Genomic DNA, 12,358 nt, shown 5'->3' with positions numbered 1-12,358 from the left:
CTTTAAGGCCCTCCGTACTGTGGCCCTGTTCCCCTTTGACCTCATTTCCTACTCGTTTCTCCCCTGCTCACTCTGCTCATGCCCTCCCAGCTTTGGGCTTCTGCACTGGCTGCTCCCATGGCCTGGACTACTCTTCCCCCAGATATCAATGTGTGCTTGACTCGCTTGAATGAAATAGCCACTCTAGCGATATAGTTTGGATGTCCTCTCCAAATCTCATGTTGAGATGTAATCCCCACCATTGGAGGTGGAGCCTGGTGGGAGATGTTTGAATCATGGGGCAGATCCCTCATGAATGGCTTGGGTCATCTCCTTGGTGGTAAGCTCTCACTGTGAGTTCACGAGACCTGGTCATTTAAAAATGTATAGCACCTCCCTCCACCCCACTCTCTCTCTCTTACTCCTGCATTCACCGTGTGAAGTGCCTGCTTCTGCTCTGCCTTCTGACATGAGTGAAAGCTCCCTGAGGCCTCCCCAGAAGCCTAATAGATGCTGGCGCCATGTTTGCACAGCCTGCAGAACCATGAGCCAATTAAACCTCTTTTCTTTATAAATTACCCAGTCTCAGGTATTTCTTTATAGCAATGCAAGAATGGCCTAATACACCTAGCATTCTATTCAACGTTGTCATTGGTGTTTGCCCCTGGCACTATCCTATCCCCTTTACCTTGCTTTACTTTTTCCTGTCATCCATAGTACAACATATCCCCTTCAACAAAAAATGTAACGTACTCATTATAGTTATTGTTTATGGATTTCTCCTCCCATTGGAATGTATGCTCTGTGAGGATGAGAACATTTGTCTGTCTCGTTTACCGACCTATCTCAATGCTTATGCTAGTGCTCGCACAAAGCACAATGGGAGTGCTCACCATGTCTTTGCAGTGAATGAATGAATGAATGGCATTATGCATGGAAACCCATCTCTGCAGAAGCCCCATGCCCTAACAGTTCTTAATGCTGCGGAGGACAAGGCCTGCCGCTTGTGGCCTGTGGTGTGGCTGGATTGAGTCTGGAGATGGAGTGGCAACTTAATGTCTCAGGCACTGCACACAGTGTGTGCGATAGAAAACAATGGGCTCCTTCGGTTTTGCCTCTGAAGCTGCTACAGGAGCTCATGAGCCTGGAAGGGGTGGGTCTGACAGAGCACACAAAGAGCAGAGCCCCTGGCTCCCACTGCCTTTTCGAAATCTGGTCTAGAATGACATCTCTTTGGCAAAAGCTTAGTCCCCATAGCCCTGACTAATGTTCCATTAAGACCTTGAGGTAGCAAAACAGTTTCTCCTAGGAGCTCGAGTGAGCCCTGGCAGAAAGACAGGCAATCCATCTCTGTGTGCTGGCAATTGGCCTTGGCTCAACATCTGTTCCTTCATTTTTCCTGTTACCACACACACGCCAATTAATTTTCAATTCCATTAATGCAGATTTCCTACCACAGCACCCACTATCCTCACCCCTTCTCAGAGAGCTTTCTGCAGGCCCACTCTCAGCAGAGGAGACATTCCCAGGGGCGTGATCCTAAGTGAACTTTAATGAGGGAGTTGATGTATCAGTGCGATATTATTTCAACCTTGGCCCATTGCACACTTTTTTTCTCTTCAATGCTTTACAAATATATTTTTAAGTATTTTATTCCACAACATTACGTATTTTCAGCAGGAGGGTTGGGTAAGGTAACCTAGCCTACCATTACTGGAAAACGGAAACTGAAGTTCAAGTTTTTTTTTTTTTTTAACTTTTATTTTAAATTCATGAGTACATGTGCAGGTTTGTTACATAGGTGAACTTGTTTCATGGGGGTTTGTTGTACAGATTATTTTTATCACCCAGGTATTAAGCCTAGTACCCATTAGTTATTTTTTCTAATCCTCTCTCTCCTCCTATGCTCCATCCTCTGATAGTTCTGTGTCTGTTGTTCCCCTTTGTGTCCATGTGTTCTCAACATTTAGCTCCCACTTTTAAGTGAGAACATGTGGTATTTGGTTTTCTCTTCCTGCATTAGTTTGCTAAGGATGATGGCCTCCAGTTCCATCCATGTTTTGCAAAGGACATGATTTTATTCTTCTTTATGGCTGCATAGTATTCCGTGGTATATATGTACCACATTTTCTTTATCCAGTCTACCATTGGTGGGCATTTAGGTTTATTCCATTTCTTTGCTATTGTACATAGTGCCAAAATGAACACATGTATACATGTGTCTTTATGATAGAACAATTTATATTCCTACAGGTATATACCCGGTAATGGGATTGCTGAATCGAATGGTAGTTCTGTTTTTAGGTCTTTGAAGAATCACCAAGCTACTTTCCACAATGGCTGAACTAATTTACATTCCCACCAACAGTGTATAACTGTTCCTTTTTCTCCACAACTTCACCAGCACCTGTTATTGGTATGAGATGATATCACATTGTGGTTTTGATTTGCATTTCTTTAATGATTAGTGATGTTGAGCTTTTTTTCATATGCTTGTCAGCCACATGTGTATTTTCTTTGAAAAGTATCTGTTCATGCCCTTTACCCACTTTTTAATGGGGTTGTTCATTTTTTCTTTGTAAATTTGTTTAAGTTCCTTATAGATGCTGGATATTACACCTTTGTCAGACCCATAGTTTGCAAAAATTTTCTCCCATTCCTTAGGTTGTCTGTTTACTCTGTTGACAGTTCAACAAAACTATCTTTTTCTGCATTGCACACTATTTAAAGGAAAGCTGAACCTAGTACATCACTATATGGGCAAAACTTTGAGGTTGGGTGCATGAATTACTTACCGTAGCAAAAAGGCTCTAACCCTGACTAAAACTCCCCACCCATCATCTGCCCAACCCTGTCCCGCTTAGAGGAAGCTTAGTTATTATGACTACCTGGGGAAGGGCCTGAAAGCCAGCCAGAGGCTAAAAATCCAGGGGAAGGAGTTTGCAGAGAGCTATCCTGTGAGAACTATGGACATTCCTTAGTTACCTTGACAGATGAGGCCTGAGAGGACAGCTGTCAGCCTCTGGAGCTCCTGAGAGTTAGGAAAGGAACCAGATTGAATTACTTTAGTAGCCCACTGGGAGAAGAAGTCAAGAGCTTTGAGGTTGGACTGGGTTGGGCTTTTTAGTTGGGCTGGTCTACACTTGCCCCAGTTTGGGTCACATTTAATCCTTCCTTCAGGCCTTGGCTCACCTTATACTTTTACCTTCCAACCCAATCCCATCCATCTTAAAGGCCAACCATATAGCTCCCTCTTTTATGGGCCCTTCCTAATGACCCTCATCCAGTAAATCCAGCATCTGGAGAGTGCCTTGAATCCCCAGTTCCCTTACCACACAGTTCACATTCCATTGCTTTGCGTTATTTCAGACATATTGATTCTTTTATCCTACTGCTTTATCAAATCATATCCTCTGGACCACAATGCTGTTACAATAAGGTTATAACAGTGAGGGCCTCAGGGTAGATGGCATGAATTCTAGGTCAGCAGGATAGTATGACATTAAGGGACTGGGATGTGGTTTCAATGTGAAGAACAATCATATCCACACTGGAGGTGTGTACCCCAAGGGGTTTACAAGATGATCCCCTCAATTAAGAGAAGATAGTGTTAGAATTCCCATTTAGATTTACTTTTAAATTTTACCCTCTGAAGATTTCTATTGAGAATGTGATTTGTTATATATACATTATATTAGTACAGCAGTATACATGTGCACATTTTATAAATTTATATATACGTATATGTACATACAGTCATGCATTGCATAACGATGTTTTGTTCAACAACAGACAACATATATGACAGCATCCCCATAAGATTATAATGGAGCTGGGAAATTCCTATCACCTAGTGATGTCATAGCCATTATAACATCATAGTGCAATTACTTTATTTTTTATAAATTTAGCCTAAGTGTACAGTGTTTATACACTCTACAGTAGTGCACAGTAATGTCCTAGGTTTTTACATTTACTCACCACTCACTCCCTGATTCATCCAGAGCAACTTCTAGTCCCGCAAGCTCCATTCATGGTAAGTGCACTATATAGGTGTACTGTTTTTTATCTTTCATGTTGTATTTTTACTGTACCTTTTCTATGTTTAGATGCACAAATACCATTGTGTTATGATTACCTGCAGTATTCAGTACAGTAACATGCTGTACAGGTTTGTAGCCTAGGAGTAACAGGTTTTACCATGTAACCTCGCTGTATAGTAGGCTATATCATCTAGGTCTGTGTAAGTACACTCTATGATGTTCACATGACGATGAAATTGCTTAATGATGCATTTCTCAGAAATGTTTTAAATGACGCATGACTATATTGGAGAGGCTAAGTCAAAATTATTTCAGAGATGGAGTAGGCAATTTAAAAAGCTTTGAGATTATTGGAATAGACTTCCAAACAGAAAGTAAACATCTTGATCTGTCTACATATGCATGAATAAAATGAAAAGTGATCATCTGATTTTTAGAGGAAACAGTTTGATACATTTATCATAAAGAGTATAACCCCAAACCACTGACATTTTTTTGCTATGGATAAATTCTATGACTTTTGAGGAATCTTCCCTTTTAAAAGTGTTTGGTTCTGAGATTCCAAAATAAAAACGAGCAGTTTATTGGTATTTACTAATTGTGGGACCAGGGATAGTGAGAATTAGATGCTAGGTAAAGGTACTCAATGAGTTGAAGCTGGAGGGATTCTCTCAAGTCCTTGATTGCTAAGTGTAGCTTTGTGTCTATGAGGGTAGGGGTGAAGAAGAGAAAAGTAAGTGCCTAGATGAGATAGGCCCAATGTTTAGATTCAAGTGATGGTACCAATTTCATCAAATCTGATTGTACAGTAAAGGGTTAACCAGCATGCCTGGGTCATTCAAACCATTTATATTCCAAAGAAAGGATTGGTCCTTGACTGTCTCCCAGAAGATGACATCTAAGTTCTTGAAAGATCCTGCCTGATAAGAGTATCTTTGTATACCTGGGATCTAGGGCCTGGCTGTATTAGTTTGATCCTGGGAGGGATTAAAGACCAAATAACTACAGTCAGCCATGTGGGTACTCTATGTCTACATGAAAAACCCCCAATAAGAATCCCCAGTAAAACCCCTTACCACCAAGAGGTGAGGGGTCACCAAGGCTCAGGTGAGCTTCCCCAGTTGGCAATATTCTATACATATCGTCACATGTTGTTGCTGGGAAAATGAAGCATTGTTCATAAACTCCACTGCGACAGGATAACCAGAAGCTTGTGCCTGGTCTTCCCTGGACTTCGCTCTATGCTCCTTTTCCCTTCACTGATTTTAATGTGTGTCCATTCATGGTATTAAATCAAACCACAAGGAACACAGTTTTTCTGAGTACCGAGTCCTTTTAGTGAATCATTGAACCTGAGGGTAGTCTTAGGGAACTCCAGCACAGTGATGAGTATATCTGTGATGTAAATCAGACCCTATCAGATGATCCTATTGCATGGAACATGAAGCTCAGAGAGGTGAAGTGACTTGCCCAAGATTGCAGAGCTGGAAAACAACAGAGCCAAGCATCCAAACTAGGACTGCTGGATACTAAAACTTGTACTCAGATTTTCTGAAATCAACTATCAGCTCTTTCACTTACTAGCTGTGTGACCTTGTCCAAATTATTTAACATTTCTGTGTCTTTAGTTGCTTCCTCTGTAAAGCAGGGATGATAAAATGGTTGCTTTCTGTGTAAAGCAGAGATGATAAAAACAGCCTCAAAGGGCTATTGTAGTTATGAGGATTTAATGAGATAGTGCATGTAAAGATACGTAGAAGAATGTCTGGCATACGGTAAGCACGTAGCAATTATTAGTTTGTGTAATTACAGTGATGAAAGCAGTACTTAAGACCAGATTTATTCTAAACTTGAAGAAACAGAAGGCTAGCTATATTACTGTGTGTGTATGTGTATGCATGCACACATACACATACATATACATATCAGCGATTCTCAAATCTCATCCCTGCTTCCCGTTCACACAGCCATTTACTTCATGTGCTGTTGGCTCAGACGGACCATATTATACTGAAGACAAAGGCCTGGATTCTGTGTTCCTTCTCTCTTCCGTTGGATGTAGCTCCATTGTCAATGGCATCCATCTTTGCTTTAGGTTATCCTGATGCTGATGATAGAGTAGAGAGAAAGAAAGAACTTCAGTGCTTGATGATATTCTTCAGCTGCTCAAGTCTTGGAGTTTGCTTTTCTTTGGCACTTCTGGTTATAAGAGATAATATGTTTGATTACTGTTTAAGTCACTTTGAGTTAGGGTATGTTTTGTAACTTTTTGTAACAACCAAATGTATTTTAACTGATACACACTGATACTTGGTTGATTTTTCACTTTGCTACCCTGTCTTGGAAAGTCTAAAGGCAAGGAAACTCTTCTTCCCTTCTATCAGTTGAAGTCCTTCAGTTACAGGAAAGAGAAAACCAACTCAAACTGACTTGGTCAGAAAAGGGGTTATATTTATTCACATAATAAGAAATTCGGGACCTTCAGGTGAGCTTCAGGTGTGCTTTGATTGGGGCTCTAGTTCCATGTCTCTATGTTTTTAGAGCTCTATCTTTCTGTCTGTGCCAGCTTCATCCTTAGGCTGTCCTTGTAAGACAACTAAGAGGCATATTCTGTCTGTTCCCCTTCCAAAAATGATTTCCTACCTCCTGGTACCTCCATGCTAGGTGGAGGCCTACTTTTGTTTAGTGTGTGTCTTAGTCTGTTTGGGCTACTATAACAAAATACCATAGATGGGGTGGCTTGTAAACAACAGAAATGTATTTCTCACAGTTCTCGAGGCCGGGAAGTTCAAGATCAAGGCACTGGCAGATTAATGTCTAGTGGGGGGCCTGCTGCCTGCTCATAGACAGCAACCTCTTTCTTGCTGCATCCTCACATGGTGGAAGGGACAAGGGAGGTCTCTAGCAACTCTTTCATAAAAGTACTAATCCCATTCATAAGGACTCTACTCTTATGACATAATCAGCTCCCAAAGATCCCACCTCCTAATATCACCTTGGGTGTTAGGATTTCAACATATGAATTTAGAGGGGGTGGACACAAATGTTCAGTCCATAGCATTCTGCCCTTGGCCCCTAAAACGTCTGTCATTCTGAAATGCAAAACACATTCATTCCATCCGAATAGCCCCAAAAGTCTTAACTCATTCCAGTATCAACTCAAAGTCTAAAGTCCAAAGTCTCATCTAAATACCATCTAAATCAGATAAGAGTGAGACTTAAGATTTGATTCATTCTGAGGCCAATTGTTCTCCAGCTGTGAACCTGTGACATCAAACATGTAATATGCTTCCAAAATACGATGGTGAGACAGGTATAGGATTAACATTCCTATTACAAAAGGGAGAAATAAGGTCTTGAGCAAGGCTGAAACCCAAAAGGGCAAATCCTTTAGATCTTAAAGCTCAAGAATAATCCTCTTTGGCTCAATGCTGTGCCCTCCAGGCCCACAGTGGCAGAGGTCCCGCCTTTTGAACCCACTGGGATGATAGTTCTGCCCCCTAAAACTTTGCTGGGCAAGAATTGGGCCCTCGCAGCTCCAGGCAGCCCTGTCCCCAAAGCTATGCTGGGTGCTGACCATGCTGCGCTGAGGCCACTGGTTCTGCACCTGGGGCAGCCAAGGAGCATGGTGCTGGAGTGTAGGGAACAGAGCCTGTGATGTGAGACAGCATGGACAGCACTCATAGAGGTCCTGTGGGTTCAGGGGGCCTCTCCTTTGCAGGTGGCCCCTCTTAGACAATAGCTTCTGCCTTTTTTTTGAGATGGTTGACTAATCTTATCAGTAGTTTTTTTTTATTTTTTATTTTATTTTATTTTATTTTATACCACATCCTTAGAATACTCACCTAAACAGTCTTTCTTTTCAATATGGATAGGCTGAGAATTTTCCAAATTGATAAAGTCCACCTTTCTTTTGATGAAAAACTCCATCTTTAAGTCATCTTTCTCTTCTTTCATTTTATTACAAGCAGTCAAAGAAGCCAAGGGGCACCTTCAACCCTTTGCTTAGAAATTGCCTCAGTCAATTTTGCCACTCACAAGTTCTACTTTCCACAAAAGCCTAGAACATGAGCAAAATTCAGCCAAGTGCTTCACTTCTTTATAACAAGGATCACCTTTTCTTCAGTTTTCAGTAACGTGTTCCTCATTTCTGCCTGAGACCTCATCAGAATGGCCTTTACCATCCAGATTCCTACCGACATTCTGTTCAAGATTCCTTAGGTATTCTCTAGGAAGATTGAGGCTTCTTAGTGCTCTTTTCTTTCTGGGCCCTCACCATAATTACCCTTAAAGATCAGTTCATAACAATGGGGACTTTCCTAGTATGCACCTCAAAATTCTTTCAGCCTGTATCCATTACCCAGTTCCAAAACCACTTCCACATTTTTAGGTATTTATCACAGGAGCACCCCCTTGTCAGACCAGTTTTCTGTCTTAGTTTATTTGGGCTGCTTCAACAAAGTACCACAGGCAAGGTAGCTTATAAACAACAGAAATTTATTTCTCTCAGTTCTAGAGGCTGAAAAGTCTAAGATCAAGGCAGTAGCAAATTTGGTGTCTGGTGAGGGCTCACTTCCTGATTCATAGACGCTGTCTTCTTGTTGCATCCTCACATGGCGAAAGGGGCAAGGGGCCTCTCTGAGGCATTTTTTATAAAGGCATTAATTCAATTCATGAGGGCTCCACGCTTATGACATAACCACCTCCCAAAGACCCCACCTTCTAATACAATCATCTAGCAGGTTAGGGTTTCAACATAGGAATCTGGAGGAATGCAGACACAGATATTCAATTCATAGTAGTGTTTAACAGAGATGCCCCCATCTCAGAGAAGGTGGGCTCTCGGTCTGGTTTAAAGGTGAGTATGCAAATCAGTTCTGGACAAGCAAATAGCTTTAGGAGTGTCTATGAATGACACGTTTCCATTGTTAATGGGAGGAATATATGTGAGGAAAAATGGTGCCTTGTGCCTTTTGTCATCTCTGCCTATTGCCACTGAATACACATGTGTGAGGATGGAGCTGCTGCAACAAAAAGACCAAGCAAATCATGGAGACATTGCCTCAAAACCACTGAATCAATGTCAGTAAACTCTCATTCTCCACCCTCTTGTTCTTTCACAATAACAAATCACATTAAGGAGGGGTCTTTTTGTTTCTTTTGGCTAAAAGCATTCTTGACTAATACAGAATACTAGCAGTAGACAGGGTTACATGCTTCCTCATTCACACTCAAGGAGAGAGAAGCTACCATTAACAGTAACCACTGACTAAATGTCCTAAACTTCACTCTTCTTCAACCATCGCTGCAACAATCACTATGGCACTAGGGATGACCTAACTCTGATTGCCTAAGTCCAAAACAGGGCCTATCTCTTTCAAACTAGAAAGGGAATGTAGGATGGTGCCTTAGTCATTTTGGGCTGGTGTTACAAAGCACCATAGACTGGGCAGCACATAAACAACAGAAATTAATTTCTCACCATTCTGGAGGCTGGAAGTCAGAGATCAGTTGCCACTATGGTTGGGTCCTGATGAGGGCTCACTTTCGGTTGCAGACTGCCTTCTTCTTATTATATGCTTACATGGCAGAAAGAGGGCAAGAGAGCTCCCTGGGTCCTTTTATAAGGGCACTAATCTCAATGATGAGGGCTTCACCCTTATGACCCAATCACCTCCCAAAGGCTCCATTTCCTTATAATCACTTCAGGGTTTTGGATTTCAATATATACATTTTGGAGAGATGCAAACATGCAAACATTCAATCCATTGCAGGTGGTTTGGGAGGAAATAAACACAATGTCCACTATACACCTTAAATCACATGGGCAAATGTTAATAAGCACTGTGGTGGCCATGGAGGTGTACTGTGTGGATGTCTCTTTAAAAGAGCTTTCTGTTGTGTGCATATTCAGCTGACAGCCTCCAGCAGTGACATCCGTGGACCCACCGTGGTGTTCAAGGCAGGGTTATTAGATCCAGGCCATTCCTGCTTACTGCAGGATTCCTCTCCTTCCAGTCTTGTTCTTGGGCTTCCCATTGGCTTGGCTGAGACTTTCCCAGAAAGCACCGTGCTCTGAAGCTGCTCCTAACCAAACTTTGTCACTCACTCTATTCACAAGGGTTGAACCTGTCTATTGGTCTGATGCCCCTTGGCACCCCCCATACACAACTCCTCCTGCTCCTTCTCTGCCTTATCTTCATAGGCATTTCCTCCAATACGTCTCTAGCACAACTAATTTTTTCATTGTGTCTGCTCCTCAGAGGCCCAAACGGACACCAGCATCTCCTGCACAGTTCAGTGCTTCACATGTTTGAACACAATTACCCTGAAAGGGAATTCCTCTTTAAATTTTGCACCCTGGGAGCCTCACAAAGCATTTCAGGCTTTGTGGACTATTTGATCTCTGTTATAATCGAACTACTCAACTCTGTCATTGTGAAGCAGAAGCAGTATTAGAAAATACGTAAATAAGTGGACATGTTTGTATTTCAACAAAACGTTATTTATGAAGACAGACAGTGTGCCAATAGGGCCTGTGGCTACAGTTTGCCGACCACTTATGGAAAGGATTGATTCGAGATAAAGGGAAAGTAAAGAGGCAAATAAGTAGTTGAGATGAGAAATAATGATAGGCTGATTGTAACAGAAAATGAAAAAAGAGAAACTTTTAACTTTCTTCATATCATAAAAGTAATATATGTTATTTGTTAAGAAGTGACATTTGTAGGAAGAAATGCAAGGAAGAAAAAAATTGACCATAACTCCTCAACCTAGAAAAAATCATGGCCACTTTTTCTTCTGTGTATATTCCTTTCAGTTATTTTCTATGTACATGATGACAAATTCTCTATAGTTATGTATTATTTTTACTCAATATCATTAGATCATTAGCAGGTCCCTATACCATTCAAAATTATTGTAAAAACTATGTTTGATGGCTGTACAATATTCTACTGTATAGCTATTGTGCAATTTATTTAATTAGTCCCTCACTGATGTGTTTAAGATTGATTCCAATACCTAGATAGAAAGGGAACTTGAAGATTAACCTGTTAAGATCTGTTTTCAGAAAGTCACAAAACATATTAGCATATCAAAAGTCATGAGAATTCTGTGGTAAAGAATAAAGGCCTTGTTTTAACAGAACATTTTCCAAATACATTTTCTCATGAAATTCTACCTCTTCTTTTTATTTTGGCTAAAGACCTATTATATTCTGTCTGCAGCATTCTAATACTTCAAGGAACCCAGCTGGAAAAAGGCTGCTATTGGGTTTTCCCATTGCAATTTGAATCTTAGAAGCAAAGCAGTGTCAGGAGAATATAGCTTTGTTAGAAGTACAAGTAACTTGGTGGCTATAATGGGTAATCCTTCAGTAATACAATCAATGACTGTAAATATAATATTTATAATATTTATAAAAACCTAGTTGTTTTTATTATTTCTGAAGAATCTTTTTATTGTAATTAGGGAGCGGATCAAGAATATGTCAAATAAAGATTGTAGATGACCACTGAACTGAGGCAAGAAACTAATTTATTAATCCTGCTACAATTGCAGTCTCAAAGAAGATGAAAGAGTTAGAACTCGTTGGGTTAAGAGTTATAGATTTCTATAGTTAGAAAGGAATGATAAATGATGAGAATAGGTAGGATAATTTCAGAATGGAATATAACTGCTGAATATTATTTATGTTTTATTATATGTCAAGAGCATTGCAGTGTTAAAATTTCATCTTGAAATATAAATCTAAAGATATATTAATCTGCACCCGCGTTTCTGAAATAGTGGAATCCTCAGATGAAATTGGCACTCTGTGCATTTGTCAGTTCATTGATACTCTTGTCATTTTGTGGAAACAGAGAAAAGGAAATGAACATTTTCTATTTTCCAAAGAGTTCTGCTTCTTTTTTTTCCCATGAACTTACATTAGCAAAAATCAGTTGAATATTATTTTGTTGGGTACAGTGATGTCAGTAGCTGTCTGTGAAAGGAAATAACAATTTTGTAGCCAAGGACAAAAATTAAGTTTTCATGCCTAAATACATGAAGGCCATATAAAACACCTTAACTCCAGACTATATCCTATTTAAACAACTTCCAGACTGTCATACTAAGAGAATGAGGGAGGCTTTATACAGTCTGAATTAAATATCATCAGCCTTATAAGTGGGATCAAAAACTCATAAAATATTTCTAATTTCAAAACTAGTCATCCTTATCATTAAAAAAATGAAAGAATTGCTTAGTCTTAACTCGTATAGTGTACTTGCCTTAGATTGTTAGACAGGAAATAATGAACAGGAAAACTATATGCATGTTTTACAAATAAC

Source organism: Homo sapiens, chromosome 5 (assembly GCF_000001405.40).
Source record: "Homo sapiens chromosome 5, GRCh38.p14 Primary Assembly".
NCBI lineage: Eukaryota > Metazoa > Chordata > Mammalia > Primates > Hominidae > Homo > Homo sapiens.
The sequence above is the reverse complement of the archived record's forward strand: the minus strand, read 5'-3'. Positions refer to the sequence as shown.